Source organism: Homo sapiens, chromosome 9 (genome assembly GCF_000001405.40).
Source record: "Homo sapiens chromosome 9, GRCh38.p14 Primary Assembly".
Taxonomy (NCBI): Eukaryota; Metazoa; Chordata; class Mammalia; order Primates; family Hominidae; genus Homo; species Homo sapiens.
The window spans coordinates 42,095,603-42,116,945 of NC_000009.12; the positions used below are offsets into that span (position 1 = coordinate 42,095,603).

The window sequence follows — 21,343 nt, forward strand, 5'->3', positions numbered from 1 at the left end:
CTCATGAGGGAAAATGTAACTTCATTTCTCCATAACCCAGAAAGCTTTCTAGTAGGAGCTGGAATTCTGGCTGATACAGAGACTGGAAGTAGTCACAACAGGTGTCTCCGTCCAGTTAAGGGATAAGCCTGTCAGTTCGTGTCTGTATTGGTCGCAGACCCTTGAAAATTCCTTCAGGGGTTCTTTTACTTCCCCTTCATCCCCAGAGTTAACTCTGGTCTCTTCTGGCTTTGCTAATTGCCTTGGTAAAGCGGGGAGGGGAGTGTGTTCAAGCCCCAAGTAGAGGTCAGCACTGCACTGTCCTCAGGGATGGCGACCTGCTGCCGACGGAGCCAAGTCCTCCCATCCCAGGCTGGGACAGTGCTCTCCACAACGTTTTGGTGACCCTTTCTCCTCCCTCTGCCAGACCTCAGGCAGGAACATGGTCTTGCTCACCTGCCTTTGGTACCTCAGGGTGTCCTTGGATAACTGGGGCTGTCCTCACCGGCCACCAGAGCTGCCGCAGGGCGTCCAGTCCTGTCACTGAATGTGCCGCAGCACAATGAGGATGCTGTGCAGGCTGCTCTTGGAGACTGGCGTTCTCCTTTCCACTACACACTTGAGAGTGCCCACTCAGATCCCTGAGCTTCAGTGAAGACTTCCATTAAGCCACCACCGGCAAGGCTCTGCTTGAGAGCAGAGCTTCAGGGCAGTCCCCACCTCTCTATGCATACTATCGTGCAGTCCTGCTGAGGGTTCCTAGTCTGCGAGATAGCAGAAAAATTAAAACACCTTTAGCCTGCTCAATTCCCTTTCAAACTTTTTCTACCTCAGACCAAAAGATGCTTTTGGACTTCAGAAGTGAAGATTAATGTCTTGGTTCACAGTCTCTGCAATGATCCCCTTTTCTCTACACAGAGGACTCAAGACAATCTGAGTTAGGAGCAAAGACGGAGGTCTGAGGGCACTGGCGAAAAATTTCAGTGAGCTTGGAAGCAGGGTCATTTATGTTAATTGTACATGTCATCCCACACAGAAATGGCCTTTATAGGAATTATCAGTGTCGTGAAGAAAGTTTTTATTTCCATTTTTAAACCTCATATCCCCCCATCAAAAGCTCCCATTATGAGTTTCTGGCTGACTTACGCCAGGACTCACAGAATGATTCATCCCTACATGAAAAAGTATTTTCACCAGCCTCAAAGGTTTTCAGGAATTACTAGATCAAAGAATTGTTAAAGAAACTTTCCAAAAGCTCATTCTACTTGCCCCTCCAAGCAAAATACTAACTTTGTGATGGATTTTAGACATTCCTAGTCCGTAACAGTGGCATGAAACTTTTTTTTTTTTTAATAGAGACAGGGTTTTGATGTTGCCCAGGCTGGTCTCCAACTCCTGGGCTCAAGGTGATCCAACCGCCTCAGCCTCCCAAAGTGCTGGGATTACAGGCGTGAACCACTGTGCCCGGTCCCGCACAGAAGTTTTTGATGTTAGGTGTGCCACCTTCAATGATGGCTGTGTGGATCCAATATCTGCTTCTCTTTCACTCATAAAATTCACCAAGTTCACATTGGAAAACATTATTCTATGGTTATTCCAGAAAATATTAGATTATCCCCGTTTTGTTTGAAAACTGACGGAAAATATGACATCATGTTCCCATCTGGCAGGAGTGCACAGCAGGCATGGAAAATGGGGATGAGTGCGTCCAAGTTAGTTCCAATTTTCAAACATTCCTCCCGCACCGCCTGTTCAGTTGCCTGGGTAAAACTGCCCCACGCAGAGAAGCTTTTACCCCAGGTTAATAAAGATGCTTTTTATATTTGTATTTGAGTTGTGGTCACTAGTAATGTTTTCTAGTCCAGATTGTGAAATTTGTATTTGTTACTATCTTTGTTTTTATACCTCAAAGAACCATTTAGAGTCACTGATTCATTTCCATAAAGCAGGAACTTTCCAAAATTTAGTAAGAATAGCTAAGTACAAATCTAAAAAAATAATTACGTACTTCAAAAACTAAAAATGCATTCACTGAGATGCCTTATATCCTAATTAAATATTAGCTGAATTGTAATTGATCTTACATTTTGATTTTGTGAAATATATATTGCCTTTACTCCAAAATTTACTAGACCACCTTCTTACGTATGGCAGTGGGCATTAGGTGGCTTGTGAATTTGAGAACTGCTCTATGGGGTTAGTGTCTGAGATTCATCAACTGAGCATGGAATAAGAAGAGAATAGCACTTTAAAGAACATTAACTGAGGACTTTGCTAAGCATTTATTTAATTAGGGAAAGCTTCAAAAGTTGAAGTCCAATCATGGGACTTTCAAAATAATCCAAGTGAGACATGAAGAGACTAAGCTGAGGGGGAGATCCATGGAAATGATGTATTAGAATCATAAGCATGAACTGTTTCAACAGACAATACACAGAATTTGGAAAAACGAGGGAGTGATATCTCTAAGATTTTTTTCCACAAATAAACATTCATACATATTATTTTGTATTCATATACTGTGATCTTCATGGAGTAAGGTGCTAATGTAAAAAAGTTGATTATTGGAGTTTATAAAAGCAACTTTTGACCATTTTCTCTGTGTGTGTGTCTACATAGCAAACTTACTTCCTCAGAGAAGCAGAAACTCTTTGTCTTACTGACACTGGAATGTATCCTCTGTAGTTTTATTCCATGAAAAAGATAACTAGGCTGGGCGTGGTGGCTCACGCCTGTAATCCCAGCACTCTGGGAGGCCGAGAAAGGTGGATCACTAGGTCAGGAGATTGAGACCATCCTGGCTAACATGGTGAAACCCCTTCTCTACTAAAAATACAAAAAAAAAAAAAAAATTAGCCGGGCATGGTGGTGGGTGCCTGTAGTCCCAGCTACTTGGGAGGCTGAGGCAGGAGAATGGCATGAACCTGGGAGGTGGAGCTTGCAGTGAGCAGAGATCATGCCACTGCACTCCAGCCTGGGTGACAGAGCGAGACTCTGTCTCAAAAAAAAAAAAAAAACCAACAGCAAAAAAAAACAGATAACTAAGACTTTGGCCCTACAATATTTAACTCTGCATGGAAAACAACCCACCAAATATGTTTTCTGTACTTACTGAAAAACCACCAACTATGGTTTCATATTCACTGAATACAAGTAAATTAATGAAACATTTTCAGGACAATCAGGCACAGATGGCTATTTTTTCTATTGAGTTGAGATAATTATTTGTGCTAATAATAGAAAGAAAGTGTGTATCCACTCCTGGAAGGCTGTGTGCTGTGCTATAAGAGAAGCTGATGCCTCTGCTTCCCCATCTTTGTTCTGTGGAGCCACACAGGCAGCCTGATACCTGGGCAAATGCTTACCTGCCCACATCCGAAGGGCTGGTGCACCCAGAGTCGTGGCTAGGTTGTGTGCAGCACAAATTCCCACCTCTAGTTTCCCTGCTTTACTCTTTTCCTAAGAAATCAGTACCTGAGCTTTTTCAAAATAACTGGAGAAGAAATGAGGCAGAAAGTATCTTTTTAAACACAATGCTCATTCACTCAGAAAATTGAGAAAAAAGTTCTAAGTGATAATTGATGTCAACCTGTAAAATTTTTCAACAGCTTGAGTGTTTATTTTCTTTACAATATTGTCATCAACTCATAACCAAATATCACAAATAGGCAGCATAATGGCCTCATTAGGGCAGTTTCCACAGTGACCCACATCATCAACAATGGCATGCATCTGTCATGCATCTTCCCAGAAAGTCCTAAAATTCTACAGGAAAAACCTCTTGGAAAGAAAGTTTCGAATGTTGATGAGGTCCACCCATATAGTTAATCTCTTCAGGTGAGAAGCTATAAACATAAGACACTTCTTCGGTTTCATCCATTTTGTAAACTCATTTGCTGAAATGTTCTTCACAGTAATATCTGTGTTCACTGCATTGTTTCCAAGTATTTAAAATCCCTGAAGAAGTAAGTAATCCATGTGTTTTACGCCATTTCAACAGAAATGTCTTAGGCAATGTTTATCTTTGCTGCTTACAGATCCCCAAATAAGACAGCTTGCTTCATTAGTGAAGGCCCCTTGAAAAAATTCTCAAACTCTCCTTCGGTCTAATGCATGGTTAGTTATTGTACATTCATTTTGCAACTTTAAAAAGGAGCAATTGCAGAGGTGTCAAGCCACAAATAACAATGCTGTCTAACTTCGTTAGACCATGAAAACACACGGGTTATCCTTGCAAAAAAGCATATATATTTTTTAATTTATTGCAGTAGCATCTTGAATCACATCTATCATGAGAGAATATAAAATCTTTTTCATGTTTTTCACACACTGTCATAACTTATTATTGTTTTCCATTATCTTAATATTCTGCTGTCTAAGAGATGTAGCCCCTGGGTGACCTGAAAGTCTGGTGAAGCTAGTATGATCAGGGATATAATAAGACAGTGACCATCTATGGACCTTGGACACAATACTAGAGAGCATGATAGATGTGTGTGGGCCATAATGATGTTGATATTAATATGCTATTAATTCCTCTCTGACTCCAGTACATCATCTCCACCTTGTCTAGGTTTTGCATTTCCAAATACTTGCCCTTTCTCTCTTAATAATTCTCCTTAATATCCCACATTCCTTTAACCTGAGGTGGAAAACTCAAGTGGGGAGGGAAATCCTAAAACTCACTAGGTGACACAATACACTAAAACATTCCAGCTTGGGTCAGCAGACATGTTACAGCTACAGACTCTTATGTTTTCTCTCTTTAGACCAAAGAGTTTATCTTACACTCATCATGTGTTGGTCTGTGAGTGGCCAAGACAACATTCAATGAGCAACCAGCAAACCCTCCCTTATGCTAGAATGCTTACTTATGGGGATACTAAAAACACTAGGTCTGTTATAGTTCTACTTGGAAACTTCAGATGCCTTTTCTTCTAACTCTGAAATTTTAATAAGATGGAAGAAGCACTTTCTGCATAATTGTTTATTTAAAACTAAATGCAATTCCAACCCAGAAGAGGCCTCTTTTGGACAAGACTAGTCAAGTTACAGATGAAGACAACAGTGTCTTAGCTGTCAGTGAGATAGCCCTCTTTGATCTTGGGGAATTCTGAAGGAATTTCTCATTTCAAAATAAGAATAAATACTTTTGGGTAAAGGGAGGAGAGAAAATTCTTCAGGTCACCTTCCATTTTTTCCTTATAAACAAATTACAATCAGTTGACCTCAGCCTAGCATTTTGATTAAAAATAACTCAAGACAGGACTGAAAGAAAACACCAAGAAGAGTGTTTTATCCTAATCTTAGAAAGGCATATTCATATGACAACCAGCATAAGAAGCAAGGAATCTGAATTACAGAAAAATAAACTTTAAACTGAAACTGCTAATATAATAAATGCAGAGGAGACACAGGGCAGCAAATGCACAAATAAATGTATGTCTTTAGCCAGTATGTGAATGATACCCAAAACGGCTGGTTTTCCATCTCAAACAGTCATGGAATAACAACTTCACAGTGTTTATTAATTGTTGAAATTGTCTAAAACAAGAGAATATATTTTCACAAATTCATCTGACACAGACACAGCTATAAGCACATGAGAAGACAGGCCTAAGGAAAAAGGTAAAATTAATTCACCTATGTCTGTATTTGTCAACTAAACAAAGCATCAATCCATTTATTATAAAGTATAATAAAACTAAGGACAACCATTGCATAATTAAATTGCCTCTGAAAGCCAATTATTGATTATGGAGAAAACCAAGTTTTACAACTGTATGTGTGTATCATATAAAGATTTCATTTCCTAATATAGATCATTCATTATTTATTTTGAAATGTTAAGAATTTACTATGTGCCAGTGTATCATTTGAATTCTCATATTTTAAACATTTTAAACTATAGGTTAATTTTCTGAAATTTTCAATTAGTGTCAGAAGAAGTTACAGAAAAAGGAATAACAAACATGTTTAAATAATTAAATGGTTTCAATGGCATCTCTGAATTTCTTTGATATTATTATCAAAATGTTTTCTTCAATTCTACTCAAAACCTTATTTTTTTGCCCTAAGTCTTTGTCAGCTTATTTCAGTCTTATTTTTACATGTAATATACCACAGAGTTCTTCTTAGCTTCAAGTGATGCAATGTGAAAGGTGTAGAAATGCACACTGACCCTTAGCCTCTTAAATTTACAACAGGTCGGCCAGGTGTGGTGGCTCACACCTTTGGGAGGCCGAGGTGGGCATACCACGAGGTCAGGACATTGAGACCATCCGGGCCAGCATGGTGAAACCCCTTCTCTACTAAAAATACAAAAATTAGCCTGGTGTGGTGGCGGGCACCTGCAGTTCCAGCTACTCGGGAGGCTGAGGAAGGTGAATCACTTGAGCTCAGGAGGCGGAGCTTGCAGTGAGCCGAGATTGCACCACTGCACTCCAGCCTGGCAACACAGCAAGACTCCATCTCGATAAATAAATAAATAAATAAATAAATAAATAAATAAATAAATTTACAACAAGTCACTTTATCCTCAAATTAGCCAATACCATGTTAGAGGTTATACTGAAATTCTAACTATGAAGATGTAGAAAGCAAAAACATATTTAATTAGTTATAATCCAATCTGTGCAATATTCATGATAATACATTTTTACAAGTTGAAAGTAATTCTGGATTATGCTTCATAACTTATGAAACCTTTGGTGGAAAAATTGAGTCTTCCCCATTAAAGGGAATTAAATAAGTTGCTTATAAAAGTGCATTAACTTGTTTGGCCCATGGGTTCATCATTTAGTGGCATGGAAGAACTAGTTTACTTGTGGTATCCAAGAGGCATGAAGAAAGACACCTCCAAAAAGTCCATTTTGACTCTTTACACTGGGACAGACGGGATGCATAGCTACCTTGTTCCCCTCTCACCCCTCAGGCTAAGGCTTGAGTAACTATTGCAGCTGTTTCCATGGCGTCTTCCCATCACATGGGAAGAAGGCACTGGGCTGCACAACAGGGAAACTACTTGTTTTCTGCCTGTTAATTTTTAGCTCTGAGATCTTTACACTCCACTGGAGAAAGGCTTTAATGTCTGAGACAGGGGGTCATTATTTGTTAGTTTAATTATTTATGATCAGAACATTTGTTCAGTCACTCTTCCATAGACCATTCTGAATCTAATAAAGGATATGAAAACACTAGAGATAATCTATAGCCCTCAATAAATCACTCCCAATTTGGAACTCCTTTGATGAATACTCCAGGCTACCACGAGGGAGAAGAAAAAAGTCAAAACCAATTTAAAAAAGCAACAACAATGAATTTGTAATAAACTTAGTTGATAGCTAACTAAAGTAAGCCTGTTTTTCTAACTTCATTAACATGAAAATAAATTTTATTAAGATTGATATCATGCTTTTTTGCACGATGAGTTACAGGAACATGAACTAAGAATAAAAATGATCCCTAAGATAAAGAATCCTCATAATCATGTACTTTAGTACAAAATATGATTTGACATCAAGAAGAGCTATGGCTTGAGATTGCTCTTGTTTTCCTTTACCCCCTGTGCCCAGGCTTAGTCACTGTTTCAGTGATAATGACCATCCACTGAGGCTCTGCAGCAATAGAATCTAAAGTAACGAAACAGAGCCCATATCTCTGCAACAAATGAAATCACAGACTTAAGAAAAATAAACAGAAAAATGAAAAGTTAAATTGTTCATGTTTCATAGCCATACTGCCTATAACAAATGCCAGAACATATTTATTTGGTCCAATGTGCAATGCATTAAATGTGCTCAAATACAGAAAACACCAAGAAATGCAACAGGGAGTTAAAAAAAAAAAAAAAAAAAGGCTGGGCGCGGTTACAGGCTCACGCCTATAATCCTATCACTTCAGGAGGCTGAGGTGGGTGGATCAGGAGGTGAGGAGATCCAGACCACCTTGGCTAACATGGTGAAACCCCGTCCCTGCTAAAAAAAAAAAAAAAAATACAAAAAATTAGTCAGGCCTGGTGGCGGGTGCCTGTAGTCCTAGCCACTTGGGAGGCTGAGGCAGGAGAATTGTGTGAACCCAGGAGGCAGAGCTTGCAGTGAGCTGAGATTGCACCACCGCACTCCAGCCTGGGTGACAGAGCGAGACTCCGTCTCAAAAAAAAAAAAAAGAACAAGGGCAATAAGAAAATAGGAAAGCACAATTATATAAAATACAGTAGACACTTTTGAATCTTTTTAATATATGCCTACAAATACATTTTATTAATAGTGTAAATTTAATTTCCTCTGAGAATTTATTCAAAGAAGTTCTATCTGAGTTTGTGCTCAGAAAATGCCAGGATGATTCCTTGTCACAATGTATTTGGTGTTTAAAGTTCCCTCTAATTTACACAGCAAGACAACATTCAATTTTCTACACTTCTGCTTAAGCATATGTAAAAGAAACACACTCCTCATGAGATATGTTTACAAATATAAATGGAATAGTCACAGTGGAGCATGAATAAACCATTACATGGTTATTTCTCTACAGTGGATGCTAAAGAGAGAATCAAGTCCACCATAATAAGAAATAAACTAAGAGTTGTAGTTAAAACATAATAAAAATCTTCTTAAACGTTTCTTTACTTTGCCAATTTTCTCATCCAAATAGGGATAATTAAATAATCTGGGACAACAAAATGTATACTGTGGCAGAACAAAAGAATCCAAGGTAAAAAAAAAAAGGACATGGCAGAATCTAAGGTCTTTGATAAATAATACTCAGATATTGCAAGGGGTATACAAAGAGTTCAAACACTGTCAAAGTCAGGTGTGACTTGTTCAAGGCACACAAAGATCATACCAAGGGAAACCCAGCAGGACAAGAAAGCCGAAGTGATCAACTTATTCCTGTCAAATACATTCTTGGAGTTTCAAATGTGAACAAATATGCTTATTCTGAATTTTACTTCCTTCTGCAAAGTATTAATCAATTATAATTATTTTGTTAAAAGAAAATCCAATGAGAGTCACCAAGGAGCAATACAAGGAAAAAGGCAGACTCACCATCTCTTCGATTAAGCCTTGAAAACCCCGGGCCGTGGCTGCTGGACAGCTCTGAGGAGCTGCTGAAGGATGACCTAGGCAAGGCAGAGGCCAGTGGGGAATCACAGTCAGCTGCCAGGAAAAATACCGTGATATGGTTAACACTCAGATTGCAGCTTGGGAGAAATAATAGTCCAAAAATATATATGAATATATTCTAGGATGTATGGCAATCATCACTCCTTTTTTAATTCTTTACAATTTTTAAAATTTACATTGCAGCATAATTTACAGAGAGTAAAATTCCAGAGAATTTATTTGATGTTTTTAAAGTGTACAGCTCTATTCATTTTGGCAAATGCATTCTGCCTTGTAACCTCCACCATAATGAAGACATAAAACAGGTCCATTAGCCCTCAAAGTTCCCTAATGTCCCACATTTTCTCAATTCTGCAAGATGTCTGGGTACATCACCCATCCAACACTACTTTAAACTCAATTTGATGCTTAGGTTCTTTAGGTACACACATACAGAGGTAGTGTGAATTCTGTGCCCAAACCTCAATAGCGGCTAGAAATTCTCACAGTGCCCCAGCACAGAACCTGTGGGGGATGGGAAAAGTGAAATGCACCAGGTGTTCAGGTCAGAGTTACCTGCGTGAAGCCAGGACCCATGAGAGGCAACACCTGTAGTGATGAACTGGAAAAAGCCCACTCTGTAGACCCCTCCAGAGGGAATTACTGCGGGCTACTTGCCTACAGGAGATGGAGGCTCCTCCTTTTTGCCTGATAACTTGAGCATTGCAGGAACTTGCTCTGCCTTTCCAACCCAAGGACCCCTGCATGTCACCATGTCATCCTCACCTCAGGGTGACTCTCTATTGCTTCAGCTCTGGTCTAAAAGAATTGCTGGGGGTTAAGTAGTGTTTGACCCAGATCATCTTATTTGTCCTAAGACCATAAGGACCCTCAGAGCCTTCTTGCCCCTGGTGTTCCCCACCATCAAACTTGAGGAGCCCCTGGGACCATTCCCACCTTGGGTAGCTCTTTTCCTATGCGTAGCCATGGGTAACAGAAGCAACCCAGAGGTTACCTCTGAGTCCCGCAGTCCAATCCTGTAATCACTGTACTTTCAGGCATGTCATATATTTTGTCATAAAAAGGGTACCTCTTCCAGCATGGTTATTGATCTAATAATGTTACACATAAGTTTTCTGTCACACATTAAGATATGTCTGTGAAAGAGGAATGTTATACCTTGAATATATCATTAGATGATTCTGAACTGCATATTTTGGATACACTTTTTTTCTTTGTGAGCAACTTGTTAAGTCACAGAAAGAAGGCAACCAGAATTAATTAGATTGCTACGACTTAGCAAAATGTCAACTATGTTCAGTGAGATAGATAAGAGGTAATTCAGGGTCTCTCCTGATTTGTTTGGTTGAGTACATGATACTGCAACAACAGAAAGAAAATTCAGTGCACATAATTTGCCTGAGTGAATATCATTTCATAAAGAAATACTGGAATTATATCTGCTTTTCTAAAAGCATGCATTACCATTAAGACAGTGACATGTCTTTAAGACATGACAAAAGAAAAACTCAGTAACTCATTGTGAAGCATCTATTCTACAATAGGGAGAACAGTATCTCATTGCTTGGTAAAACATTCAGAGTATTTGATATAGGAACATTTTTCTATATATTCCCCATAAGTGACAATGTCACATTTATACAGGTGAGTCAGACACTGGAATTTGTGATTTTTTTACATACAAAGAGCAGCATAATCTAGCTAAGAAATTGCATTTAACATCTTTAGCATGAAGAGCACCCAATATTTTTACACAGCAAGAAGCCATTGAAATGTGCAGAGCTGTTAAGAAAGGTTTGCTTTCTCTACACTTTCCTTAAATGTCCCCCTCAATGTTTATGCCACAAGAGAGGCTTTCTTGATTTCCCCAGCACACATGCTCTCTGGATAACACTGTGCAGTCGGGATTCCCAGATGTCAGCAAATATGCTACAGAGTGGGCTAAGAAAAATAGATAAATACGAATCCAACTGGCTACGAACTTTACTTACATTTTCTAAAAAGGCATTTTAAAACTGTGAAGAAGCTAAAGTACAAGAAGGCAACTAAGGCTCTGCTCCATCTATAGACAAGTCCCACATGGCCCACGAGTGGTCACAGCAGGATCCAAGAAGGAAGGACATCATCCAGGGAATAGTGCCTCCTAAGCCTGTCTGCCTGATGTTATTTTCTCTCTATTTTCTGGGAAAGAATAAAACAAATCCAAGAACATCTAAAGTAGCATTGACATTTTTTGGATAAAATCTCTTCCTACATTAGAAAAGCATGATAGCTGTTCTCATGATGCCTCTGTCCTGCAGTATCATGCAACACATAAAACAGCACTGGGCGTTTCACGTGTCCCTGGATTCCTGCAGTATCATGCGATACATGAAACAGCACTGGGCATTTCACGTGTCCCTGGGATTCCTGGCTGACATGTCTAACTCTCTCTGTGGAATCATGAGCTCTTGAAGGCACAATAAAAGTCTTTCCCAACTTCATGTGCTCTATACCTAGCGCAGAATCTGAAAGATAGCACATGCTCAATAAACTTCAACTGAATATTTACTAAATACGTAAAAGAGAATTATCATTAACCAATACACTTAATTAAACTTAGTCTTCCTAAGTTAGCAGAGTACAATTTATTAAAGTTCAAACACAAGAGGCCTACAGGTATCAGATTCACATCTCTAATAAAAATAATAACCAGATCTCAAGAGAAGGTTCTAAATAGGTGTAATAGATAATAGTTATTCTTTCCCTTGGTTTCTCCCTAATTAACTTTCCAATTGTGTGTTTCACGAGTTTCAGATGATTTCCAATAGGATTAAGGTCCAAATATAAATCTGTAAAGACAGCTGGAAACAAAATTGCTGAAATTTTCCATTTCGCCTTTGGAAAATTCAAGAGTCAATAGCATCTGTCTGCCAAAGAGTCACCTTGTAATGAAGAAAATTTCTGGCACAGGCTTGAATAAATCTTGCCCTTCAGAAAGGCAATAAATTCGGGCGCGGTGGCTCACACCTGTAATCCCAACACTTTGGGAGACCAAGGCGGGTGGATCACAAGGTCAGGAGATCGAGACCATCCTGGCTAATACGGTGAAACCCCGTCTCTACTAAAAATACAAAAAATTAGCTGGGCATGGTGGCACGTGCCCATAGTCCCAGCTTCCCAGGAGGCTGAAGCAGGAGAATCGCTTGAACCTGGGAGGAGGAGGTTGCAGTGAGCCCAGATGGTGCCAGTACACTCTAGGCTGGGCGACAGAGAAAGACTCCGTCTTAAAAAAAAAAAAAAGAAAGAAAGAAAGGCACTAAATTTTATAAAATAAAAGAACATAAGAACATATCTGGTACCTAAGTTTATTGTTTTTTCCCTATCATTTTGAATTCTGTGAACACTTTCTTTCTAGAAAGAATTGTACACTACTGAGTCAGAGGGGAAAACACAGTGGGCACCCCACAAGTGTTACAGGGGCTGGATCTCCCTCTTCCTCAGCTTATTTGGAAATCTGGTTAAGATTCACTATATTTCCATGTGCTTGGCTCAATATAGAGGGTTCTAGGGTCTTAATGTTACAAGTATTGATTATTTCACATTTATTCTCACCATCTAAAGGCAGAGATTCATTGCTACATAGGTATATTTTATATTATTGTTCTCCTAGAAGATCATGGTTGAAAATGATATAAAATGTTTTATTCAGGGTTGTTTTATATCTGTTCAAAAATGGTGGACTTCCTTAAAAATCACCTGTGCTGAACTGGGTAACAGCTGGATTCATATTAAAACTTGCAGGTTTGAAGAAGAGAAGCATTTGGAAAATGCAGAGAATAAACACAGTATGGGTTGGTGACTTAGCTGAAGGCTCAACAACGGTTGAGAGAGAAGTAGAGATAAACCCATAGAGGATCCCACCTGCCACCTTCCATGCAGCCACCTCAAGTGACAACTTTGAAGATGCACGCTAGACCAGAGGGTTTTTGGCTTGCTGCACTTCCTTAGGCTTGTTGATTTAGTCTCGGTGATTAGCTCTGCCTAGGTTCCTCTCTCCCCACTCTATGGTCTTGATTTGTCCCCTGACCCCTGCCTGGCATCACTCTTAGCTTCCCACTTCTCCTTGACAAGTATTCCCAGCATGCTTTGTGATTCCCAGCATGGTGCCTATGAACGGTTTGGGACAGAAACCATTTCTTAGTATTATGTTCATGAAAGACAGCAGAAGATTAAAATTAGCCTAAGGGCTTCCTGTATACAAATCAACATTGCATTCACAGATGTGCTAGTTTATGACAATTTTTACCACATGAATATGAAATGATTAAAAAATCAATTTGAGGAATTGCCCTTACCTAAGACAGAGATGATATACTTTTCAAAACAGCATTTCATTTGAGTATGTTAATTCTTGCACTTATTTAATAAAAGTGTATTGAGCACCTACCATGTTCAAAGCATTATGGGGCATAAAGAGAGACATGGTTCTAGGTTCAAGAAGTCCAGAATCTAACATGGGAGGGAGATGTGTAAATATCTGTTATAGGAAATAAACAGAAGAGCAAAATATTTAGATACTACTATTTATTCCAAAACACAGGGAAGCATCTTAATTGCTTAGGAACAAAACCAGCCTCTGAAAGAGCAAACACTACTAGGGAGAGATGCGTATAAAAGTGCTTCTGGAAAAGATAAACATAAACCATGCATTTTCAAACAGCAATTCATTATTCTGGGATCTGATAATAAGAATGAAAAAAAAAAAGAATGCATGGATAATACATGGACAGATTTTGTCCGTATCTGCAGAGGAAATGGGAAAAGCCAAAAGGAGGGGCGACAACTGATCCTTTGGGGAGGAGCTTTACATTCAAATGAGGACACCTCCTGGCATCTCCAGATGGAGCTCCGAATTCATTACAGTATTACTTAAAGGATTTTATTAAAAGACCAAACCACACTGCACTTGTGGCTGAATGCCTTTATCAGAGATGAATCTTACATGTGTTAGGACAGGCTGACAGTGGCTCCCAAAGATATGTCTATGCCCCAATCCCGGGACCCTGTGAAGGTTACTTCAGAAGGTAAGGTTCTCCAGATGTGATCAAAGACCCTGAGACGAGGAAATTATCTTGAATTATCTGGCTGGGTCTTAAATACCATCAGAACTGCCCTTGTAAGAGAGATAAAGGTGATGATGAACAGAGCCCCATACAAAAGAGAAGAGGGTGTGAAAATGGAGTGAGGCACCCACAAGGTGAGGCACACGGGCAACCACAGGAAGCCGGAAGAAACGAAGAATGCATGTCCCCCTAGAGCCTTCGTAGGGAGTGTGGCCCATCTTGATTTTGGACTAGGGATACTGATGCGGAACTTCTGGTCTCCAGACTATGACAGAATAAATTCTTTTGCTTTAAGTCTGCCAGTTTATGGTCATTTCTCACAAGGGCCATAGGAAATGAACACACTTTATATGGAATTACATATTGGATATTTTAGGGCAAATGCAGGAGAGTTCCACTGAAAATACGTTTAACATCCCTTTGAATCGCACAGATACTCAATTCCTTCTGAGAAGGGCTTCGTGATGCTAAGCCACTCTGCCAGGCTGTGGCTCTCCCCATGCTTGCGGCTGCACTTGCTCCTCACTGTGAAAGGAGCTAAGCACTGTGTCGGCGGAACCTAAGGATGGAAGGAGAGGGGAAGGGGCCACCGAACTGCTAATATGAGGGGACGGCACCTTAACCAGCTTCGAATTATCAGAAAAACACAAAGCCTATTATTAAAGAGTTCAACAGATGGTTACTGTGTTATCACAGATGTACAGAAAACCTCTTTGTTCTAAAAAAAAAAAAAAGAAAAAAAAAGATTCCTGTCCTTTCTCAGACTGTCTCGATTAGGTCAAATTCACTAACTCCACAGCAGGCTTCTCTCTGGTTCCACATATTGAGTCAGCAGGGAGCACGGCCTCGGGAATCGAATCACAAACAGGGAAGGGGGTGCCCATACCTTCTTCAGGCCACGTCTGGATGTTCATCTGGATACGGCGCTATTCCATTCTTCCCATTTCATCACCTGTCTTTTCAGTTCTTAATGTACCTTAACATTATCTTAATGAGAGGTTAAATAATGCTTTTATTTAGAAGGTACCAAAAGTTCATCTTATTATGAATCTGAATTGATCTGTGCATTGCTATCTAGAGGGAATGCTTCGGAAAAAGTACATTTTACTCACAGTGAACATAAGCAGTGATGGTCAATGTAAAAATCTACTGTTTTCCATATAAAAACTTCTGTTTTACATGGTCTTGATCTCCATTCGATTATCTTCAGTCACTGTCTTCCCTACATCTCACTCCATGGGGTCTGAAGGGGGCTCACCCTACCACCTGGGGCCAGCACAGGGACAAGCCTCAGGCCTGGCAACTGAATGTCATGCCTGTCCTACTGGAAAGGACTGGTTCCAGGATGGTCAGGAAGCCCACGCTGAATGAATGGGAACAGAACCTGGGACTTTCGAATGAATAACAGCAGAACTTGGGACTTTCGGCTTGAACTCTTGGGAGAAATACCCATTCATTCATTCAACAAATATTTGTTGAAAATCTATACTGTGCCAGGTGTGCCCCTATGTTCTGGGGATATAACCATAAACAACAGAAAAAGTCTCTGCTCCTGTGAAGCTTATCCTACTGAGTAGAATAAACAAATAAAGGCATAGTATCTGTAGAACTCAACATTGCTAAGAACAGAAATAAAGGAAAATAGTCACGCTCCTAAGCTGGTAAACGGTATGCCTGAAGCTAAGGCATAGACAGAGCTGCCCAAGAATGAGGCCAGTTGTAGATGAAAATAAAACTGCAAGAAGGAAAGAGGCAGACTGCTGATGAAAGAATCTGATTGCCTAAATTCAGCCTGGCTTCAATCAAGACACTTTGGTTCCCTTTATTGTTCAAGCCTATTTGATCTTAGATTTTGGTCACCTGAAACTGAAAAATACTCAATAAGTACACTGTCCTGAGCCCCCACCCTTATCTTCCCTCTACAGCCAATAAATTGCCAAGGATTATGTACTTTTTGTGTGTATATGGCAGCTTTTCCATTATCATGATCATCATCTCACTGTAGGTCCTCATGTTAACGACCTAACTAATCCTTACAGCCAATGTTTCCTTATTGACTGTCCCCAGCCACACACACACCTTACATATCACCAGAGCAGAAACGGTTTTAAACTATTGCTGAGTGCAAGTCACACAAACAGCCATATCAACGAGCTCCAATGGATCCCCACTGCACCTGTCCTGAAATTCAAATTTCAGGTCCTGGCATTCAATTCCTTCCATCACCTGTTCCCCGTTACTCTCTGCACTACAGCCGAATCCCCTACACATTTCTCAGATGCGCTTCCTCCTTTAATTGGAGTGGTCTTCTCACTGTTTCCTGAATGTGGGATGCATGCACCAATGCTCCTTGACCGCTCACCCGATGACATTGCAGCCCCTGCTGTCTGCGAGTTCCCATCACTTATTATCTTCAGGGCTCAACTCAAGTTTTGTCTCTGCTCTGAAGTCTTCTCACATGTGTGAAGGCCCCAGTAAGGCTTACTCTTCTGAAATACTGAGGTCTGTCTCATGGAAAATGAATTACACCTCTGGAGAAGGAGCAGCACCTCACTCACAGGGAGCCACACAGCAGCCATGTGCGGCGGCAGATGGGGATGAGAGGGAACAGGAGAACCTCACTCCTGAGAAAGGAGCCTTGCCTGCTGACTGATGATTCTGGGGTGAGGAAGAGAGACTGGCATGACCAGCTGATGAGTGTCTGGTTCCCGGGACATGACAGACAATTCCTAGAGTCTACCTGTGGGAACAGATGAGGCTTGGAAGAAGACACATAGAAACAGGTTTAAATTCTATAAATTAGAATTTACAGGGGGTAGGAGATAGGGGTTACACGTTGTCTCTCCTTCCAGATGACATTTTGACTTGTTAAAGAAAACCTAGCATAGGAACATTGAATACCTCCTGACATTGGTGTTTTCAAATGACTTACAGCACTACAAATATAAAGTTATAACAACAGTATACCAATTTTAACATACCAGGACCAAGGACTTTATTCTATGAGAACTACAAAAGACACAACACAAATGAAGACCTAGAGGAAAGTTTACAGAGTTTTTTTTTTTTTTTTTTTGAGACGGAGCCTCGCCCTGTCGCCCAGGCTAAATTTTTTTTGTATTTTTAGTAGACACGGGGTTTCACCATGTTAGCCAAGATAGTATCGATCTCCTGATCTCGTGATCCACCTGCCTCAACCTCCCAAAGTGCTGGGATTACAGGCGTGAGCCACCATGCCCGGTCAAGTTTACATAAATTTAAGCATCTTAGTTTGACGATCTACTCTACAGTCATTACAACAATAAATATAAGAACTATTTAAACATGTGGAGAGATGAAGGAGATGGGATGGGAAAATCTGCATATGAGAAGATAATGGACAAAGAGATCTGCTGGATTGAGATGAGATAATGGGTGTTAAATCCAACAAACACAGCTCTAGAAACACAGAAGGGATTCAACATAGATCAGCTCCTTTTCCCTGAGGAAGCTGGATAGATGATCTTGTTCTCTTTCCTTTTATTTCTAAATTTCTTGCTATGTAGTTAAATTATACTTCTGTGATAAATTCAATACCTATTTTTAAACTATAGATTTTTGGCTAAAGTATATAATACGAGAATAAGACGAACCTATTTTTTTGAGACTTACTGCTAAGTAGAAAGAGAGGAAACCAAATAACAAAATTAAGTCGTGCAGAAAGACATCAGACACGACACAGAAAAAAATACAACAACACAGGTGCATATAATTTAAAAAGAAAATCATGTGGCGATGTCATCACTAATAATTGTTATTACAAATGTATCCACAGCTGTGGGAATATAAGTGATAAAGATGAACTGTTAATAAAGGGCAATAAATGATCTTTCCACGGGTACAAAAAAATAGAAAAAATGAATAACACCTAGTATTTGATAACACAAGAGGTGACTATAGTCAATAATTACTTAATTGTACATTTTTAAATAACTTAAAGAGTGTAATTGGATTGTTTGCAACTCGAAGGATAATTGCTTGAGGGGATGGATACTCCATTTTTCTTGATGCACTTATTTCACATTGCATGCCTGTATCAAAACATCTCATGTAGACCATCGATATATACACCTACTATGCAACCACAAAATTAAAAACTAAAAAAATTAAAAATAATAATAATTCTTTCTATGCACCTCTGAGAGTTGACAGAATTAGGGTCTGAATGAGAATATAAGGTATGAGAAGGATATGGCTTCTTCCCAAGACATGTTACAGAGGGATGGAAAGAAGACTGTGTTCAACTTATAACATCTTAAAGGGACCTCATGACCTCACAGGCCAGAGCAGGCTATGGAGCATCTGGGAGCTGAAGAAAGAGAACTTCAGTGATACTTAAGTAAGGGTTAAGAGATGCACTCCAATTGCATTCTGAAGACAGATCCCAACAAGACCAATGACATCAGCTAGATTTTTTTCAGCCCAAAGTAATAAACCTGCAAATTATCAGAACTTGTTCACTACTCCGTACTTGGCTCTAATATGATTAGTAAGATGGCAGTGTCAGAATCCTTGAGAAAATAATAACCAGAACATCTTAGAATTTATTGTGCCCAAGGAAGGAGCCCTGTCAATAGACAAATGTTTATTTGAGATGTCAAAAAGATAATTTTAAAACTTTAGGAAAACAACAGGCATTATCCCATGGCAATATGTTTTATGTCCAAATTTCAACTCTATTATTTCAAGCTATGTGTGTGACTTTAGAGGCAGCTTTGACTTCAATTTTTTAACTTAAAAAGATAAGAGTATTTAGAACACAATGGGAAATGTTACATAATACTACCTTGTAGACCTCCGAGCAACCACTATACAAAGAGACACTGTTGTTATGATTGAGGACAACATCGTTCATCAAATGTGAAAAGCTACCCAAATGAAACCCAGAAAAAACATGTTCCACTGAAGAAGAGAGAAATGGGCAAAGTAACCAAGGAAAGAATATTTACAGTGAGACTGGGCGCAGTGGTCAAGATGGGTGGATCACAAGGTCAGGAGTTTGAGACGAGCCTGGCCAACATGGTGAAACTCCATCTTTAGTAAAAATACAAAAATTAGCTGGGCATGGTAGCGGGAACTTGCAATCCCAGCTACTCGGGAGGCTGAGGCAGGAGAATCACTGGAACCCGGGAGGTGGAGGTTGCAGTGAGCCAAGATTGTGCCACTGCTCTCCAGCCTAGGTGACAGAGCAAGACTCCATATCGGAAAAAAAAAAGAAATACTTACAATGAAAAGGAACATTAAAAGGAGGCAATATAAAGCAAAGTGAGTTAAAGCCCAGAACACATTAAGACTTTCAAACATTGCTAAATGCAATCAAAGAGATTTTTTGTATACTCATAAGAAAAAACAGAAGAAGCTGCACTCTTTTGACAAAGCTCATAAGGCTAAGAAAATAGACAGGTCCGGATCCAAGATGGTCGAATAGGAACAGCTCCAGTCTACAGCTCCCAGCATGAACGACGCAGAAGACAGGTGATTTCTGAATTTCCGACTGAGCTTTGGTGACAGTAGTGGTTCTCCCAGCATGGAGTTTGAGATCTGAGAATGGAAAGACTGCCTCCTTAAGTGGGTCCCTGACCCCTGCGTAGCCTAACTGGGAGACAACTCCCAGTAGGGGCTGACTGACACCGCATACAGCCAGGTGCCCCTCTGAGACGAAGCTTCCAGAGGAAGGATCAGACAGCAACATTTGCCATTCTGCAATATTTGCTGTTCTGCAGCCTCTGCTGGTGATACCCAGGCAAACAGGGTCTGGACTGGACCTCCAGCAAACTCCAACAGACCTGCAGCTGAGGGTCCTGACTCTTAGAAGGAAAACTAACAAACAGAAAGGACAACCACACAAAACCCCATCTGTACGTCACCACCATCAAAGACCAAAGGTACATAAAACCACAAAGATGGGGAGAAACCAGAGCAGAAAAGCTGAAAATTCTAAAAATCAGAGCACCTCTTCTCCTCCAAAGGAACACAACGCCTCGCCAGCAACGGAACAAAGCTGGATGGAGAATGACTTTGACGAGTTGAGAGAAGAAGGTTTCAGATGATCGGTAATAACAAACTTCTCCGAGCTAAAGGAGGATGTTCGAACCCGTCGCAAAGAAGCTAAAAACCTTGAAAAAGGATTAGACGAATGGCTAACTAGAATAAACAGCGTAGAGAAGACCTTAAATGACCAGATGGAGCTGAAAACCATGGCACTAGAACTACATGACGCATGCACAAGCTTCAGTAGCCAATCCGATCAACTGGAAGAAAGGGTATCAGTGATTGAGGATCAAATGAATGAAATGAAGCGAGAAAAGAAGTTTAGAGAAAAAAGAGTAAAAAGAAATGAACAAAGCCTCCAAGAAATATGTGACTGTGAAAAGATTCACCAAACTTGAAATGAAGGAAAAAATATTAAGGGCAGCCAGAGAGAAAGGTCGGGTTACTCACAAAGGGAAGCCCATCAGACTAACAGCGGATCTCTCGGCAGAAACTCTACAAGCCAGAAGAGAGTGGGGGCCAATATTCAACATTCTTAAAGAAAAGAATTTTCAACCCAGAATTTCATATCCAGCCAAACTAAGCTTCATAACTGAAGGAGAAATAAAATCCTTTACAGACAAGCAAATGCTGAGAGATTCTGTCACCACCAGGCCTGCCTTACAAGAGCTCCTGAAGGAAGCACTAAACATGGAAAGGAACAACCAGTACCAGCCACTGCAAAAACATGCCAAATTGTAAAGACCATCAAGGCTAGGAAGAAACTGCATCAACTAATGAGCAAAATAACCAGTTAACATCATAATGACAGGATCAAATTCACACATAACAATATTAACCTTAAATGTAAATAGGCTAAATCCTCCAATTAAAAGACACAGAGTGGCAAATTGGATAAAGAGTCAAGACCCATCAGTGTGCTGTATTCAGCAGACCCTGCTCACGTGCAGAGACACACATAGGCTCAAAATAAAGGTATGGAGGAAGGTCTGCCAAGCAAAGGGAAAACAAAAAAAAAGCAGGGGTTGGAATCCTAGTCTCTGATAAAACAGACTTTAAACCAACAAAGATCAAAAGAGACAAAGAAGGCCATTACATAATTGT

General features: G+C 39.9%; 1 protein-coding gene and 1 pseudogene across 1 annotated transcript in view; both read right to left on the bottom strand.

Annotated features, from left to right (window-relative positions):
• The window catches only part of CNTNAP3B (contactin associated protein family member 3B), a 238,891-nt gene that overhangs the window by 205,067 nt on the left and 12,481 nt on the right, over positions 1-21,343 (bottom strand). Inside the window, exon 2 of the mRNA NM_001201380.3 lies at positions 9,027-9,137. Within this exon, the coding sequence (NP_001188309.2) occupies positions 9,027-9,137 (111 nt within the window). The remainder of the gene's footprint in view (positions 1-9,026; positions 9,138-21,343) is intronic.
• On the bottom strand, positions 3,544-4,086 carry LOC100420440 (ubiquitin specific peptidase 12 pseudogene; annotated as a pseudogene).